The following is a 20,083-nucleotide window of genomic DNA, read 5'->3' on the forward strand; positions in this document are numbered from 1 at the left end:
TTTTCAGGTCTCTACAGAGCAACTCCTCCCCCATTTATAGAAGATTATTTGGAAGCTTATTTCCTCACTGTTTTTTATTTTTTCAGACACAGGGTCTCACTTTGTCGCCCATGCTGGAGTTTAGTGGCACAATCATAGCTTACCCAAGCCTTGAACTCCTAGGCTCAACCCATCTTCCTGTCTCAACTTCCTGAGAGCTGGGATTACAGGCTCAAGCTACTGCACCCAGCCATTTCCTCATTTTTAACACTTGCTGGAACTTGTAAGGAATACAGAAACCTTCATTTTTAAGACTCTAGTAAAGAACCTGGACTCTCATGAGCTCTTAAGATTATTTTGCAAACTGAGTACTGAAATGCTTCTGGTAACCATCTATTGCTGTAGTCAGCCAGGCTTAAAACTTCAATCACCTATGATGATCCCTCCCGTCATTGCCCCCACACATCACAGTTATTAAGTCCCATTCAATTTACCTCTACATCATTTCTGGAATTATCTCTTTTTCTTCTCACATTACATTTACCATCTGTACCTATAATACTATGTCTTCAACATATCCCATTCCCATGGTGCCACCAAAGCCCTATACCTTTCAACTTGTCTTCTCTGTGTGCCCTGTGCTTTCTGCCTATACTGACCTCTCAGTAGGTCACAATCAAAAGAAAACTGTCTATCAAAATCTTTGCCAACCTTCAAGGTTCATTTCTAACATCACTAAGTGCCAGGCACTGTTCTAAACATTCATCTTTGTCTTACTAAGTTCTTCACTCCCTTCACTCTTTAAACTTCTTGAGGATACAAACTTAGCTTATTCATCTGTTATCTCTTGTGTCTTACACATTTACTTACTCCATAAGTACTTATTATATGACTTTAACACTACCATAAAAGAGTACGTTCACTTCAGAGAACAAAAACAACAATCACAAGGTGGCAGAAAACACTATAGCAACTATATCTACGGTAAATGGGTAACACCCAAATTCCTGATGCCTAAGTTCCTTTCTTCAGAATCCCACAACAAGCACTAAGAATGATTTTCACTACCTACGTTTCTTCTCAGGAAAAAAATGAGAAGAGAATAGAAGAAAAAAACACAAGTTCCTACTTCTGCCACTTGACGTCATGTGCAGATTAGGAGAAAAGCCAAGGGGCATTAAATCAAAGGTGTTCAACAAATGAAAGTTTACTCAGCTCTGAAGTAAATTCTGTAAGAATACAATGAAATTATTCCCACATTTCTATCCCATACATCAAGAAATAAGATAATCACTTTAATGGACTATGAAAAGTAAATCAACCAAAGAAATGAATGAAGGCATTAGAAGAACCAAAGCTTTAAGTCACAAGTCAAGAAACCTGTTTTGTTTCAACTTATACCAGTGCTTTGCTGGGTTCTTTGCCTCAGCTTCCCCCAATGCAAAAAAATGGTGATGAGAATAGTTTCATTCATGTTATTTAAAGATAAACAGTCACATTTCAAAGTAGTTTGAGACCTAAAGGTCACGTAGGGTCAGCTCCCTCACTTTAATTAGAAAAATGGTTACATTAGTCCTATAGCTAGTTTTTAGCAGAAGAAGGGTTTAGCTGAGAAGACTTGGGTATCCTGGCTGATGTTCCTCCCAACCCACCACTTTATGAAATGATAAAGAGTAGAAAAATGATAGCCGGGTGTTTGGTGCATGCCTGTAGTCCCAGTTACTCCTGAGGCTGAGGCAGGAAGATCACTTGAACCTGGGAAGCAGAGACTGCAATGAGCTGACATCACGCCACTGCACTCCAGCCTGAGTGACAGAACAAGACTCTCTCTCAAATATATACATACATACAAACATACATAAAAAGTAAAAAATGACAAAGCAATTTGATTGCCACTTTGGCAACATCATCTGTGTATTCTTAATAAATTCAAGTAAGAGTTACTTTTTTTTATTTTTATTTTTACTTATTTATTTGAAATGGAGTCTCGCTCTGTCGCCCAGGCTGGAGTGCAGTGGTGCGATCTCGGCTCACTGCAAGCTCCACCTCCTGGGTTCTGGCCATTCTCCTGCCTCAGCCTCCCGAGTAGCTGGGACTACAGGGGACCGCCACCACGCCCGGCTAATTTTTTGAATTTTTAGTAGAGACGGCGTTTCACCGTGTTAGCCAGGATGGTCTCAATCTCCTGAACTCGTGATCCACCCACCTCAGCCTCCCAAAGTGCTGGGATTACAGGTATTTTTATTTTTTTTTTGAGACACAGTTTCACTCTGCCACCCAGGATGGAGTGCAGAGCTGAGATTTCAGCTCACTGCAACTCCTGCCTCCTGGGTTCAAGTGATTCTCGTGCTTCAACCTCCCAAGTAGCTGGGATTAAAGGCGTGCACCACCACGCCTGGCTAATTTTTGAATTTTTGGTAGAGACGGGGTTTCACCATGTTGGCCAGGCTGGTCTCCAACTCCTGACCTCAAGTGATCCACCCACCTTGGCCTCCCAAAGTGCTGGGATTACAGACATGAGCCACCAAGCCAGACCAAAAGCAACAATATAGAACATTCCAAAGTATCTAAAAAGCAAAACCTATAAACACACTAGTAATTCATTTTACCATGAGGTCTTCATAAACTCCAAGAGGATAAAATTCCCCAGGAGGGGCTAGGCACAGTGGCTCTCGCCTGTAATCCCAGCACTTCGGTAGGCCAAGGTGGGTGGATTACCTGAGGTCGGGAGTTCTGAGACCAGCCTGGGCCACATGGTGAAACCCCGTCTCTACTAAAAATACAAAAATTAGCCAGGCATGGTGGTGGGCGCCTGTAATCCCAGCTTACTCAGGAGGCTGAGGCAGAAGAATTGCTTGAGCCTGGGAGGTGGAGATTGCAGTGAGCCGAGATCATGCCACTGTAACTCTAGCCTGGGCGACAGAGTGAGACTCTGTCTCAAAAAAAAAAAAAAAGGGCTGGGCACAGTGACTTACACCTGTAATCCCAGCACTGTGGGAGGCCAAGGCGGGTAGATCACCTGAGGTCAGGAGTTCGAGACCAGCCTGAGCAACATGGCAAAACCCTGCCTCTACTAAAAGTACAAAAATTAGCCGGGCGTGGTGACAGGCACCTGTAATTCCAGCTACTCAGAAGGCTGAGGCAGCAGAATCACTTGAACCCGGGAGCCAGAGGTTGCAGTGAGCCAAGATCGCGCCACTGCACTCCAGCCTGGGCAACAAGAGCAACATTCGGTCTCCAAAAAAAAAAAAAATTCCTGAGGGTGAGAAAACTCACTGCAATCAAGACCATCCAAAATTCAAATAAGCGCTTTAGTGTCACTGAACTGCATCCATAGTCTATTTTTACCCAACCCTGATCTGAAACAGACTTCAGGAGACTATTAGACAAAACACAGGTTAGCATAAATTCAACCAGAAATAAAAACATGAAAATAGGGAAACAAAATGAAGCTATTAAAAAGGTACAAGCTTAGCTCTAAATTTCCAGATGTCAATAGGAAAAAAGAAACCTAGTGAACAATTACAGCACCCAGGTAATAAAAACAGACTAAAAGCTTAGACAAACATACAATTATTCTTGGCTGCACATCTTTCTCCCTGAGGTCTTTATAAAGAAGGCATTGCAGAATACAGAGAATATCCTCAACAATATTTCAGTAATCACAATGAAATGTTTTATGAGGTTATTTTTATACTGAACTTCAAGATAAGCCTAGAGTAACGGTTGGGAGAAAAAAAAGAAAAAAAAAATTTCGGGGACAGAGAGAAAAAAAGAAAGGAAAAAAAAAAAAACTTAGGAGAGAGAGACCTACATAATGTGGTCCAGGTACCCAGAACACTGCTGATTTAAGAGCACAATTAAGAGAATTTCTGGAAAAAAAATATTATTTTAACAAGTAGTTACTATATAGAAGTTTATAAGCACAGGACCCAGAAAATGAAAAGCAAATTTAGCAAAATGTGGAATGGGTCCAGGAATTAAACAAAATTGCAGGGAAAAAAAAACAACTCTAAGAGGGAAAAACAAAGAATATAAAAGAAAGAAGAGCAAGCACAACTCAGCAAGTACATTACATACATATGATAATTAAATGCTTTTATTTCTACATCTACAATTAAGAATTAAACATTAAGATATTTACGGAAGCATGCAGCTTCCTTCTTAATCCCATAATCAAGGAGATAAAATTTAAATTCCTGTACCTTCCACAGTGATGAAATATCATTGTTTAGTGACATCATATCAAACACAACGTACTGCAGAATTTTCAAAGCAGTTATATTTCCACTGTACCAAGAAAGGAAGATATGTGAAATATTTCATGAAAATTTTCCAAGAAGAGTTTAAAACAAAAAGGGTAAGAGTTTTTAAACCAGACATAAAATCAGTCAACCATAAAAATTAATTTAAAAAACTCTCTCTAAAGTCTCATTTAGCAATATAGTTTACTGTCAAGCATAATACAATGATAAACATACAATTTGCTAAACATTCAACAACATAGAAAAATTAATCATTCTATAGCTAGCATGTACCAACGACACAGAATGGATCACTGTTTCTCCTCTGGGAGGTGGGAAAGAAAAAAACAATTGAATTCTTAGTGAAGAAAGGGATTATAATTTCCACAGAACTATCCACTTGTAATTTAAGCAACATCATTTAAAAACAGCTCATTCCAACAGTCTCCTCTACTAAATATTTTCATCAGGGCTGCCTAGACGAAACCTAGCCCACCACTCTATCTTGGGCAAAAGAGTAAAATACAGACCAGCTACTGGAAGGGTGGGGGGAGCCAAAATTCACCAGCTGGGTCAAGTTCCTGAAGAATTAACTAACTACATTCTAGGATTCATTTCTCAGCATCAAAGAACAACTTTTTCTTCTTCTTTTTAAATTAAAGCAATGCCTCCATTCTCATTGTCTGGTCAACTGCTGAAAACCTTTAAAACACTCAGAAGATCAACAAACACTTGGCTAAATAAATACCAGCCTTAAGAGTCAACCCGGTGATCTTGCTCAACAAGAACTTTAAAGTATTTATGCTTTACTGGTGGTTTTAGTTTAAATACAATTTTTTTTTTTTTTTGAGACGGAGTTTCGCTCGTTGCCTAGGCTGGAGGGCAATGGTGCGATCTCAGCTCACCGCAACCTCCGCCTCTCACGTTCAAGCGATTCTCCTGCCTCAGCCTCCAGAGCAGCTGGATGTAGAGGCGTGTGCCACCACGCCCAACTAATTTTGTATTTTTAGTAGAGACGGGGTTTCTCCATGTTGGTCAAACTGGTCTCGAACTCTCAACCTCAAGTGATCCGCCCGCCTCAGCCTCCCAAAGTGCTGGGTGGGATTACAGGAGTGAGCCACCGTGCCCGGCCCTAAATACAATTACAATGTGCAAAAAGAGCATGTACTTCAGAGTACTTTCAGTACCCAAATATGATCTAACGCATGAAAATTCAACTTTTTAAAGTATCAGTTGATTTAATTGCAAGAGGATTCAACTGATCCCAAAATGTTTCCTAAAAGCCATCCTTTGGCTGTTCTTATACACTTCACACCCTTCCAAACCATAAACCATTATGTGAGAAGAATGCTCAGAACTAAGTAGTGAATGAATGGCCTTAAGGTTTTTCCAAGTCATTAAACTATCCTACAGAATAAGAAAAATTCTCAGGTACTTTTATTTCATTGGTTTGTAACGCTTACCTACAACAGTACCAAAACTCAGAAATGTTTTCAATGCAACGTATCCTGAAAACAATACGCTTATAGTGTCTAGGTGCTTTTCTGTTACTCAAAATAAGTGCATGCAATTTAAAATCCTTTAACTACAGTGTTTATTATACCTCTAAGCACAAAATATTTAACGTTAACCAAGATATTTTTAAAGCGGTGATTTAAACAGCAAAGTTAGTGGGGATAATGCCATGAATATTAGCAAGCTGAATTAAGCTACTAATCCATTTAAAGAAAGATGGGTTACGGAAGAAGCAAGCCTCTGAAGCATTTGCTTTAAATCTAAATACAGAAGTGGACTTGAGCACAGTGAACTAACAAATGATAATAGAACTAGGTCTACAAGGAAGAAATTCAGCAAAAATTATCCATTTCTTCCTTCAAAATAGAAAAAAAAAGTTTCATTTCAGATACAATATCCATGCAGATAATATAAACAAAATTGGGAAACCAGAAAATTTACTTTTAAAAATCATAGCTGTCTCAACAACCAAACACTCCAGTGAAAATCTTCATCACCTTTTAATACAGTCAAGGAAACACCAATTCTTCCCACATATTCATCTTTTTCAGCCTTCTCTAGTAAGCCAGCCTCTAGCAAAGAGAAAATGAAAGATCTGCTAGTCAATTATCCTGCCCCTCTTTTCCAACTCCTCATGCTCTCTCTCAAATCTGATATTCCTAAGGAGATAAATGCACTTATTTAACATGTATCTTTAAGTATGTTATAATATAGTACTGCTTTATTTAATTAAGTACATAGATGCTGAATTGGGAGTGACAGGAATGAAACGTCTCTGTCTCCACCATGCCAATTTGGAGTGCCACCCATAAAAAGCTTATGTAAAATTTTCTCAAACCAACAGATTTAGAAAAACCAGTAAGATGAGGTGGGCGGATCACGAGGTCAGGAGTTTGAGGCCAGCCTGGTCGACACGGTGAAACTCAGTCTCTACTTAAGAAAAGAAAAAAGAAAAAAATTAGCCTGACTTGGTGGCGGGTACCTGTAATCCCAGCTACTTAGGGAGGCTGAGGCCCGAGAATCACCTGAACCCAGGAGCCAGAGGCTTCAGTGAGCTGAGATCGCACTACTGCACTCCTGCACTCCAGCCTGGGCGACAGAGCGGAACTGTCTCAAAACAAAACAAAACAAAAAACAACAAAAAAAACAACCCAGTAAGAATTTATTCCAAATACATCAATACATTTAACTCAGCTTAACAAATCTGCTTAAAATGGGCTTTTTTTTTTTTTTAATAGGAAGAGAGTCAGGTTGTGAAACTAGACTGTGCTTGGAGGCGATGTATTAAATATTCTGAAGCATTTTCTAATTGTCAGTCCTTAAAATGTAAGAAAATCTCAAGTGTTAAAATTGAAGACTGGGTGTGCTCTCTGCTGAAAGTTCAATCAAAAGCAACTGTAATTTCCTACAAAGGTAACTAGGTCAACTCAGCATTTGTCCCTGCTTACTGGAAACAACAAAATCTCAACAATCAGGCCATTAACTTATCATGTCCTATATATAGTTTCAAAAGAAATCTAAATTCACTCTTAAAGAGGTACTAGTACAATTTTACACATAAGATGTCTCCTAGTTATTTTTCTTAGACTTCAAAAGGAAATTACCACCATTTAGACTACAACAATACAACCCTACAGCAAAAGTATCTTCCCCTTCTTCACTAGCATGTATATGCACTCATCTACCCAACATCAGGGAAAAAACAAACAGAACCTAGACACCTATGTACAAAGAATCACATTCTCTCCATAATGGCGATTCATTCATTCTTCCTTGTGCCAACATTTCTCAAGAATGCTATCATGCATGAGGTCTACTCACAGGGGTACATGACGCTGCTCGGGATCAGCTCTGGTCAGTTCTTCCTCTTCAATATCAGACTCCCCTCCTGAACTACTGTCAGTGACATCTGAATCAAATGCCTGTTCACTGCACCTCAAGTTGGCTATGCCACTAGCTGTAAATCTCTCCAATTCTTCTGAAATTGAATTGCTTTTCAGAAAGTTGCTAAGTCCCTCTGAAGTGGTGGTCTCACTGGCAGCTTTTCTCAAGGCAGCTTCAGCCTTTCGAGTCAGCATCAACTGGCTCCGTGGTCTCAAGGATTCCAAGTTTGGCAGTTTGCTCAAAGTCTTCTCCAAAAATCCACCCAGCTGATGTTGTATATGCCTCTCAACCTGCTTGGCTTGCACAACCTGTAAGCGCTTTTGTAATCTGCGGGCACGGCTCTCAATGTCAGCCTGTCGCCGCAGTAAAGCTGTTATCCTTGTGTCAGAATCTAAAGCACTGAAAAGAATGGAAGACAGGGGAGACTTTTTACCCTCCAATTTGACACCCCCCAAGTTAGAGCTGGAGTCTGTACCAGGTGATAATCTACTGCTTCCTTGAAGTGCCGGCTGTTCCATGGAATTGACAGAGGATTTGTTTGCAGTGCTATTATTGCTATACAAAGTTGTGTGTTCTACATCAAGGCTTCTATGTGGAAGAGTGCAATTGGTCATACCCCCCTTCAAGTCCCCAGATTCAGATCCTCCCATTTCACCCCCATGAAGAGCAGATGAAGTGAGAGCCCGTTTTCCCCCATTGAGGGAAGTGGAATTGTCATGATCAGAATGTGTTGAACTTTTAGTCAATTTCTTAGCCAACCCATTTACAGGTGCTTGTGGCAGAGCTGTCTGACCACTCGTATTCATGGTTCTAAGATTTTCTAAGGAAAACTCCAAAACTGGCTGTCTCCCCAACAGCTCAGCTCGGAGTTCATAGGACTGAGATAAGAGAGGATGAGATTTAAGGACTGTCTGCTTGCTGAAGACCCCTTGCAACTTCAAAGACTCCTTTGAGGGAACAGATGTTACATCAGAGCAGAGATAAGATGCCACCAGTGGTTGCAGCTTTCCCAAGTCTTCCTTGGTAGGATTATTTCGGAAATCTAGGCTGGGATCCTCTGCAGCAATGGCTTTTCTTTTGGTTCCGTTGGCAGCAATAAGGATGTTGGCGTTGCCGTTATTTTCGGCACTGCCAGGGGACAAGGTAGAGGATGGGGGAGCCAGTTTGAACCGGATATGGTGTGCTTCAGCTGCTGCGTCAGTGAGAGCGGGCGCCATCGCAGCCATTCAGCACAGAGAGACAGGAAGTCCAGCCTCTCCCGATGCCGAGGCCGAGGCCAGCTCCACGGCCCCTTACTGCCTCCCCAGAGAACAGACTAGAAGAGAAAGGAGAAAAGAATATTAGAAATACAAGCACTTTTAAAAACATGTATATTTTTAACAAAAGCACTACTTGAGGCTGTTGTCTAAACTGCCTCCAGAAAGAAAACACTCTGGAGCTAACTGTACCACAGTTATTCTAGAGACCCAAATATCTTTCATCTGGGAGAAAGGGGGAGGCAAAATCCCTGCACAAGGGAAGGAAGAATTGCACCCTTCTTGTCATTTGTTACCACAGATTGAAAGGTGCCAAAACACAAGTTCGATTCAGAGAAAATCACAGATTGTTAAAATTAAATCATCTCCATTAAAAAAAAATCTCTTTAAGCTTGTTGAAATAAATGGATTTAAAGCAAGACACATCAAACTAAGCAATAATTAAACAGAAAAAAATTAGTAAGGAATTCCCGTGTTCACTAAAAAAAGTATGCCAAATATCACAGGTCTGTGCATTTTTCTGGCCAGGGAATCCAGTTTTCATCAGCTTCTCACTTCTCTAGAAGTATAGATTATACTACAAAGCTAACTGTACCACATCTGTAATACCAACTTGTTTCATCAGTTTTCTTTTCTTTCAGATCAAAGTGGTCATCAATATCTTCTCTACTGGCTTCTTCCTCTCAGCCTAGGAATTTACTCAAGTATCTTCTGCCCTCAGTACAGCCTCTCTCTCATACTTAATTGCCCAAATATCTCTCTTTCCCTTTACCCCAAAACTTCTCTAAGAATAGTATAAATAACTGTCTCTGCACTCTTCACTCTTCCATAATCTGGATTTCACCCCCTACTGCTCTGGCAAAGGTGACCAGTAATCTTATTATCAAATCCAATGGTCAAACCTCAGTCCCCATTCTATCTGACTTCTCTGAAGCACTGGACAATACCGACCTTCTTCTAATTCTTTCCTGATGTCCTTGTACTATCATCCTCTTCTCTTCCTCCTGGACCCTTAAATGCTGGTGCTGCACAAGGTCCCTTCTGCCCTCTTCTCTCTCAACAACCACTAGTATGGTGAGGTTTCTTAACCATAAGAAAAACTTCTGAGCTGCACTAATCAAGATTCCTATAACCTCTATGTTCCTCAAGCCCCCTGAAGCTCAGAATTCACTTTCTCCTTCCAGCACACTATTCCGCATCCTGTTTCATTACCTTAAGTAATGACACTGCTTTTATTTAGTAACCAAGCTAAAAATCTCAGTCATTTGCCTCTGTTTGATCCCCCTTGATCTATGTGGTCTGGGAGCCAAAGGAAACATACGTAAAGAACTAAGCCAGTTGTTCTTTAAAGTGTGGTCTCTGGACTTCTGGGGATCTCACAGGCTATTTTGGAGGTTCGTGAAATCAAAGGTATTTTCATAGCAATACTAGAATATTATCTGCCTTTTACACTGTGTTGACATTTGCAATCAGAGTACAAAAACAAAGGTGAACAAAACTGCTGGTACATTATTAGCACAAATCAAGGAAGAGGCACCAAACTATACTAATAGTCATTATACTCTCCACTCAGTTTTTCTTTTTTTAAGGGAGTTCCACTTAAGATGTCCTTGATGAACAGCAAAAATTATGAATTATCTTGAGCCTTTAGTGCATTTTTTAAAAATATTCTTTGTGATGAAAGGGAAAGTATGCATAAAGCACTCTGCTGCTTTATGAATTCTCAGGAAAAAGCACAGTACAACTGAGTTGCAAAATGAACTAGAGCTTTGTTCATGGAACACGATTTTTACTTGGCAGAACTACTGACAAACATTATTTGAAACCTGCTTCACTAGCAGACATTTCCTTGCAAATGAACAAAGTGAACCTGTCACTTCAAGGAAGACCACTGACGATATTTGCTGCCAATAATAAAATCTGAATTTTTTAGGCAAAGATTAGTGTTTTTGAAAACTTGTATCAACAATCATGAACTTAAACATTTTCCCAATATTTTATTTGGTGGGTGTGGATGTGTGTGTGTGTGTTTAACAGAGTCTTGCTCTGTCGCCACGCTGGAGTGCAGTGGTATGATCTCAGCTCACTGTAACCTCTGCCTCCTGGGTTCAAGTGATTCTCCTGCCTCAGCCTCCCGTGTAGCTGGGACTACAGGCACGTGCCACCACGCCTGGCTAATTTTTGTATTTTTAGTAGAGACAGGGTTTCACCATGTTGGCCAGGATGGTCACAATCTCCTGACCTCATGATCCGCCCACCTCGGCCTTCCAAAGTGCTGGGATTACAGGCCTAAGCTGCCACATTCGGACTTTCTGAATATTTTAAAAGCCATTTCTGATTTAACAGACTTGTGACGATATTAATGAACGTGAATTTTTGATTGCATATAATGTAATGTGTAACATTTGGAAGATCTGCATAACCCAGTGAACGATAAAATGTCCAGTGAATGTCAGGAAATCATGCATGGGTAAAAAGTTTAAGTGCAAGACAAATCATTTATTTGTTGCTGTTATTTTGAAACAGGGTCTAGCTCTGTCACCCAAGCTAGAGTGCAGCGGCACAATCATGGCTCACTGAAGCCTCAACCTCCTGGGCTCAAGTGATCCTCCTGCATCAGCCTCCTAGTAGCTGGGACTATAGGTGTGTGCCACCATGCCCGGCTAATTTTTTGAATTTTTGTAGAGATGGAATTTCATTTTGTTGCCCAGGCTGCTATCAAACTCCCAGCTTCAGCCTTCCAAACTCCTGGGATTATAGGCATAAGCCGCCATGCCCAGCCTGAATTACTTATTAAATATTTTTTAAATTTCTCAAAGTTTATAAGAAAAACAATTTATTTGCTGTTCTCAACAAATTTTAAGAGTTAAAAAAGGGTCCTGAGACCAAAATGCTTGTGAAATCACTGGACTAAGCACCCCCCTCCCTGCCCCAAATGAGGGCAATCTCCAATTTAATCAAAAATGCTTATCTTTGGAGCAATACCAACACAGGATGGTAGGCCCTACAGGACCACAGTAAGCTTCTTTATAGTATGACAATTTGAATCATTAACATAAAAATACTCAAATAAATGACTGAGAAAACATTATTCATAAAAGCACCAATATACATATGGGTCGAATCTGTCTTATTGCTGTGTGTGTGTGTGTGTGTGTGTGTGTGTGTGTGTGTGTGTGTGTGTGTGTGTTTCTGAGATGTAGTCTCGCTCTGTCGCCCAGGCTGGAGTGCAGTGGCGTGATCTCGGCTCACTGCAACCTCCGCCTCCTGTGTTGGAGTGATTCTCCTGCTTCAGCCTCCCGAGTAGCTGGGACTTCAGGCATGTGTCACCATGCCCAGATAATTTTTGTATTTTTAATGGAGATGGAGTTTCACCACGTTGGCCAAGCTGGTCTCAAACTCCTGACCTCAGGTGATCCGCTTGCCTCAGCATCCCAAAGTGCTAGGATTACAGGTGTGATCCACTGTGCCTGGCCTCATATAATTATTAACACCAAAAGTTTCTTGTTCCAGGGTTGTATTTTAACCAACACTCTTTATGAACTAGATTTTCAGGGCTTATGTAGTTTTCTCCTGTGGGCTTTCTGGCATATGGCATTCTGTGTGGCACAAATTATTCTATGTTGTCTTTTCCCATTTCTAACTTTAAATATAATACTAATTACTAATATATTATTAAACATTGTGTTACAGACCAGTTGACAGTACTAATTCCTGTTATTAAACATTGTGTTATAGACCAGTTGACAGCTGGACCAATATAGTTGTTAAAAATATTTTGAGTCACTTTTATAATATGCAAAGGGTTTTTCCCATGGACAAACGAAAATCACTACCAGATAATTCCCATCAATTCAATCTCCTCCCCTTTTGAATGTCAATATGTAGTTGATATGAGCAATGCAAGGAGGCATATTATCAGTGCCAGATGATTAATACAACATGTGAAGAGTAATTGTACCCTACTGCCTGACAGCACTACAGTAAGACTTAGCAAGGGCAGGAAACAGCTTCCCTCTGAGGACCCAAGCAAGGGCACAAATATGCTTTATGACTTACATAAAACTTAGGAAAACCCAGGCTCACTCCAGCACAAATGAAAAAGAGGGTCATAATTAACATCACATCACAGAAGGTGCTTAAGTAGTAAACTTCTCAAAGTTATTCTGAGATTATTCAATTCTTTAAAGCTTACAACTTTAAGAAAAAATGCCGGCTTAAATCCCATCTACTCCAGCTGGGCACAGTGGCTCACGCCTGTAATCCCAGCATTTTGGGAGGCCGAGGCAGGCGTATCACCTGAGGTCAGGAGTTCAAGACCAGCCTGGTCAACATGGTGAAACCCTGTCTCTACTAAAAATACAAAAATCAGCTGAGTGTGGCGGCGAGCGCCTGTAATCCCAGCTACCTGGGAGGCTGAGACATGAGAATCACCTGAACCCAGGCAGCAGAGGTTGCAATTAGCCAAGATTGCACCACTGCACTCCAGCCGGGGCAACAAGAGCAAGACTCCATCTTAAAAAAAAAAAAAAAAATCCCATCTACTCCAAGACTTCTCTGAAATGATGTCTATGAACTTGACATTAACATATACACTTCAAAGACAATAGTTTATTTGATTTGCACTTTATCCTTGGTCTCAATATCCCCATAGGATACACAGCATAGTGTAGTTACTAAAACAATCATCTAAGTAAGGGGGTGGGGGAGGAGAGAGAGTGCAGAGAACAGGAAAAAGTGACCACTTTTTCCGAAAAAATTCCCATTCCTAATTCCTAAATCTTGAGATTTCTATACCAAAGAAATACCATTTATTGACTTGACATACCTTTATTGACTCGAAATACTATGCTAAGATTCAACATTACTCCCAAAGATATTCATAAGTAAGAGGAGCACTGACTCAAGTGAGCAAATCTCAGTTCCCATCCTGGCTCCACCTCCTGTAGGTTACTTAACTATTCTGTTCTTTAAGTCTCCTCATCTACAAGTAACAGAGCCTTCCCGACAAGGATGCTATGATGATGAAATAAGATACTTTCAATTACTTGGCCACGTACCTGGAGCAACCACCCAGTATTATTTGCACTTTTATTACACTGGAAACAAAAAGGAAACATAGAAGGAATGAATTTCCATGGCTTTTTAATGCACCTAGTTTGCAATTAGCTACAATTGCCATAAACCACCACCTAAGTTTAGTACTTTAATCTTTTCCCTGTTATGTCTAGACTTACTTTTAATATTTCATGATGTTGTTTATAATAAAAAGAAAACTGAATGCCAAAAACTCGGTTAAATTATTAAATATCCATACAATGGAATACTGTGCAACCCTAAGTGTGGCAGAGCTATATTTACTAACATAGAAAAGTGCTTGCTTCATTATTAAATGAAAAAAAGTTACAAAACAAAACACAGTATCATCTCAATTTTGCTTTAAAAAGTCATTGGTTAAGATTCTTTTGTCTTTTGTTTCTTGGCTTATGTAAAGTCTCCACCATAAACATGTATTACTTCTATAATAAAATGGAGAGAAACAAAAAGAAAACAATGGAAATTCTTAAAGAGCCAATAACTAAGTAAAACAAAATCACAGTAACATTCTTTTTTTTTTTTTAAGAGATGGAGTCTCGCTCTGTCACCCAGGCTGGAGAGCAGTGGCGTGATCTAAGCTCACTGCAAGCTCCACCTCCCGGGTTCACGCCATTCTCCTGCCTCAGCCTCCCCAGTAGCTGGAACTACAGGCGTCCGCCACCACGCCCAGCTAGTTTTTTGTATTTTTAGTAGAGACAGGGTTTCACCATGTTAGCCAGGATGGTCTCCATCTCCTGACCTCGTGATCTGCCCACCTTGGCCTCCCAAAGTGCTGGGATTACAGGCATGAGCCACCACGCCCGGCCCATAGTAACATTCTTAAATTTAATATACAGAGCAAAACAATGATTCCTATCCCACTTGACCCCTACAAAATTCAAAAAGCTTCAATCTTTGACAATGTAAAGCAGGGAAAGACTGTCAAATTTAAGCAGTTCTTAGAGAAGCTCAGGGCTAAAGGAAAAAAAAACGAAAAACAAAAAAAGGAAGCAGTTCTACACAAACAGCACAACAGCCTATCTGATAAATCATCTTTCTCCAAAGAATACAAAGCCTTAAAAGCTATAATTAACTGATTAATCCTCATAACAACCTGGGCAGTAGAATTAGGGCTGAGATTATAATTTCTAATTTACCGGTGGGGATAAAGTCAGACTGTACATTCAGAATAAAAATTCAAGCCCCAAATATCCCAATTTTTAGTTCATTCAGTTAGTAAACTATAATCTGACAAATACAGATGGAGCTGCTACACCTGCTGTCACTCACACAAATTGAGATTCTGCAGTAAGCTTGTACAGATAAAAGAAAAGGCTACCTATTCAAGGTCATTTAGCTATAAAAGGTTGGGCTAGATAATCAATAGTTTCTCTCTCAGTTTCAAAGAAGTATTTTAGGGTCTGGAAGATGTTAAATGCACTCAGCAAGCAAATACATTTCGGAAAAACTTCCCAGATGGAGACTCACAACGTATTGCATCATACTGAATATGCAAATGTTTACCTTTACCAAACTTTTTTAACAAGCACCTTTTTCCATTACATCTATTAATATCAAGCAGAAACATCATTGTGAGAAATACAAGTTGGGATAAAGTTCAAATATGTGACCTCTAGGGTCCCTTCCTATGTTAATTCTATTATTCTAAATTGCACCATCGGTCCAAGGACAAACTTCTACCTAACACAAGTGGCACTTGGGAAGCAAAAATATACTTCTAGGATAGAGTTTCTCAACCTAACCACTAACTGACATCTCACGATGAGTAATCTATCACAGGGGGCTATCCTGGCAGTAGCATGTTTAGCAACATCTCTGTTTTCCACCCACTAGATGCTAGTAGTGCCCTTCTGAAAATTATGACAATCAAAAATGTCTCCAGACATGTCAAATATGGGAGCTGGGGGGTTCAACATCACACCTCCCAACAGAGAACCATATCCTAAAGATTATACACACACATATATATACTCTTTCAAAAGCAAAACGTATCCAGCTGCTTCAAATACTGTAAGTCAGAACTAACTCCACACCCACAAATGAAAACCTCATTTATTCCCAGTCAATTTCCAAGACAAGACTCCAGATACACAAGAATAACCTGGAAGCATCCACCTTGCAAAAATATTTAGCTGCAGAGAACAAAGGGGAAGGAATAGGTCATCCAGGTGGCCAACAAGTATTACAACCACACTTGCACTGAAAGCAAAAGCAAAAATCAGATGGGGAAGAAAAGTTTGCCCATAATGTGGCTTCTACTAACCTCTTCCTTCACCATTACCTCATTTCTCTACACAAAGGACGGAAAGAAACAGCAGGAAGGATGATTAGGGAAGTGTCCATGAAGTTGCCGCAATTTTAGCTGAGACTTGAAAATTAGCTAAAATGTCATTATGCAAAAGGCTAGGACAAGAGAATGGTAATGTGGCATTCTAGTGAGAGGAAATGGCATAAGAAAAGGCAACGCTGTGTGGGAAAAGGCGACATTCTGAAGGTTAAAAGAAATGAACAATTTGGGCCGGGCGCAGTGACTCATGCCTATAATCCCAGGACTTTGGGAGGCTGAGGCGGGTAGATCACCTGAGATCAGGAGACCAGCCTGGCCAACATGGCGAAACCCCATCTCTACTAAAATTACCAAAAATTAGCCGGGTGTGGAGGCGCGCACCTGTACTCCCAGCTACTTGGAAGACTGAGACAGGATAATTGCTTGAACCCAGGAGGCAGAGGTTGCAGTGAGCTGAGATCGGGCCACTGCACTCCAGCTTGGGTAACAAGAGCGAGACTCCATCTTAAAAAAAAAAAAAAATTAACAATTTGCTTAAAACACAAAGCATATTTTAATAGAGGAAATAGTAGAATGAAGGTGGAAAGGCAGTTTGAAGCCAGATCCTTAACGGACAGCCTTTAATAGCCTTAATTCAGACTTAAAGACAGTAGAGGGGCCAGGCACAGTGGCTCACGCCTGCAATCCCCGCACTTTGGGAGGCTGAGGCGGGTGGATCACCTGAGGTCAGGAGTTTGAAACCAGCCTGGCCAACGTGGTGAAAACCCGCCTCTAATAAAAATACAAAAAAATCAGCTGGGTGTGGTGGCGGGCACCTGTAATCCCAGCTGCTCGGGAAGCTGTGGTAGGAGAATCGCTGAAACCTGAGCGGCAGAGGTTGCAGTGAGCCGAGATCGCACCATTGCACTCCAGCCTGGGTGACAAAAGTGAGACTCCATCTCAAAAAAAGAAATAAATAATAAAAATAAAAATAAAAAATTTAGCCGGGCATGATGGCAGGTGCCTGTAGTCCCAGCTACTAGGGAGGCTGAGGCATGAGAATCACTTGAACCCAGGAGGCAGAGGCTGCAATGAGCTAAGATTGAGCCACTGCATTTCAGCCAGGGCGACAAAGAGAGGCTCTGTCTCAAAAACAAAAACAAACAAACAAAGACAGCAGAGGCCAGGTGCAGCGGCTCAGACATGTAATCCCAGCACTCTGGGAGGCCAAGGCAAAAGGATTGCTTGAGGCCAGGAGTTTGAGACCAGCCTGGTCAACATAGCGAGATCGAGTCTCTGAAAAATAAAAAGTATATACATATATATATACACACACATATATATGTATATGTATATATAAAATAATGACAGCAGAGTATCATTAAACACTTTTTAAATGGGAGTGAAACATCAGACTGTGCTTTAGAGAGATCAGTTGGGTAGGATGGATTGAAAGTAAGTAAAAAGGCATCTATAGATGGCAAAGACCAATAAAAAAGCTACCACAATAATCCAGATAGGATGCAATGAGAACTTCAACCAGAAAATAATAGTCAAAGTCTCTACCAAAGCTTAAATCCAGAAATGTGAAGGGGCCAGTCTAACAAAAAGGCCAAATATATGACAAACAAAAACATGATGGCTTATAAAGAATGGAAAGAAAGCTCTCTTTTCCTTCATAATTTCATCTCCTTTGTGACGAAATCCTTCTTTTCTCACGAAGCTTTTCAGGTTTGGTATGTCCTCTCTATACTTCTAACACTATCAGTCTAGCCCAGGTCCTCATCAGCTCCTGTCTAGATTATCACAACAGCTTCCTGACTAGTGCCTCAGTGCCCCAAACTATCCTTTACCTTTTTATCATCTCACTTTCCTACTCTGAACAAGTTCCTCACACTTTTTTTTTTTTTGAGACAAAGTCTCGCTCTTGTCCCCCAGGCTGGAGTGCGATGGCGCGATCTCCGCTCACTGCAACCTCCGCCTCCCAGGTTCAAACGATTCTCCTACCACAACCTCCCGAGCAGCTGGGATTACCGGTGCCTGCCACCACAGCCAGCTAATTTTTTTGTAATTTTAGTAGAGATGGGGTTTCACCACGTTGGCCAGGCTGGTTTCGAACTCCTGACCTCAGGTGATCGACCCGCCTCGGCCTCCCAAAGTGCTGGAATTACAGGCATGAGCCACCACACCCAGCCCCTCACACCTTTTTAATGAGTTCAAATTCTTCAAGATGAAACTTAACGTCAGGGCAAGCACATCAATTGATACGGACCCAGAACTCCCCACAGATTCCCAACTCCGTATCTTTGCCTATGTTGCTACCTCTACCTGGAAGGTCCTTCTTCTACTTTTTTTTTTTGTCCCCAAACTTACTAATTTTTCAATACATAGCATCTCCACAAAAACTTCTTAGACTCTTCCAATTCATATCACTTTCTTCCTGCTTGAATTGTATAATGCACTTAAAGTCACTGTCATTCAGTTCAAATTATCTGAATTTTCCCTAATTGTTAACTAATTCTATTTCCAAGACAAGCAAAATTCCTTAACAGCACCCTTCTTTAGCGTGCTAACTTTATCGAGAGCTTGGTACATAGTAAGTGCTGTAAGCCCTAAATGACTGGACTAGAGAAGTCAAAAAGGCCTCGTGGGGGTTGCCCTCAAGTGTAAGATTTTACTAAGAAGAGAAAAAGGAGGAAACACGAATCAAAAAATTGACACAATCAAAATAATGGGAAAGACGTGGGGCATGATCCACAAAACAACTTGCATGAATCAGGTGGTATATGTACAGCTTCTCAAGAGAAAGAGAGGAAAAGAACAGTGATTTGTGATGAAGTACTGCAAGCTACATTATGGAATGCACTGCAAAGTATTTATTTTACATATGAACAAAAGTAGATTTGTTGTGGAATACAATGGGGAAGGAGAGACAAAATTTTTACTATAAAACAAAGAGATAATGTGTGTCACCCACAAGACCATTATCAATTTCCTTGGCCAACAGGGCTTCTTAACTGAAAAAGCTTTATATTACTAAAGGAATCATTCCTGAGTGCAGGATAGGTTATTACAAATGTTGTTCACTAACATTAATTAGCGTTTTACTATGTCAATCACTATGCTAAGTATCTTACATATATTCTCTTAATCTTCACAATAACAATGTAAGGTAAGTACTACTGTCCTCATTTTATAGATGCTCAAAGAAGTTAAGTAATTTGCCCATGATCACACAACTATGAAGTTGCAGGGGCAGGATCCATAATGCTAAAGCCGATGCTTTTAACTACTACACTAGATAGTTTAAGGCTTAAACTGAAACGGTCTTAACTGCCTGACAGTAAATTCTGAATTTTAGTCTTTAGAGGAAAGTCAGTCAAAGAACACCAACTACCTACTGAGTATCTCCAATAAATATTAAAATGCCTAGAGTATTCAAAGCACCACAGTAAGTACATACAAGGATGACAAGCAGCAGTAAAGAGAGACACTACTGTGTGATTTGGGGGATGGAGGCAATCCTCATACAGGCTGAGAAGTAGGCGGAGTCAGAAAATGCTTTTCAGAAAAAAGAACATCCAGGCTGAAACCTAAAGAATGAGTAGGAGCTGGGTGCAGTGGCAGGCGCCTGTATTTCCAGTTACTCAGGAGGCAGGAGGATGGCTTCAGGCAAGGAGTTCAAGGCCAGCCTAGGCAACATAGCCCCCATCTAAAAAAGCCACCCAAACAAAAACACTAATTTTTTTTTTTTAAATGATGGCCTACCATGGTAGCTCACACTTATAAGCCCAGCACCTTGGGAGGCCAAGGCAGGAGGATCGCCTGAGCCCAGGAGGAGT

The 20,083-nt window shown here is 40.6% G+C and overlaps 1 protein-coding gene across 30 annotated transcripts in view; it reads right to left on the reverse strand.

Moving 5' to 3' along the window:
- Positions 1-20,083, reverse strand: part of KANSL1 (KAT8 regulatory NSL complex subunit 1) — a 195,452-nt gene that overhangs the window by 133,380 nt on the left and 41,989 nt on the right. For 26 of the 30 annotated variants that reach the window (XM_047435800.1, NM_001405881.1, NM_001405861.1 and 23 more), the window contains one exon: positions 7,560-8,937. The exons of the other annotated variants lie outside the window; for them this stretch is intronic. In XM_047435800.1, the coding sequence (XP_047291756.1) occupies positions 7,560-8,848 (1,289 nt within the window). In that variant the 5' untranslated portion in view covers positions 8,849-8,937. The remainder of the gene's footprint in view (positions 1-7,559; positions 8,938-20,083) is intronic. 30 annotated transcript variants of the gene reach the window in all.

This window comes from Homo sapiens, chromosome 17, assembly GCF_000001405.40.
Source record: "Homo sapiens chromosome 17, GRCh38.p14 Primary Assembly".
In the NCBI taxonomy this organism is placed as follows: Eukaryota; Metazoa; Chordata; class Mammalia; order Primates; family Hominidae; genus Homo; species Homo sapiens.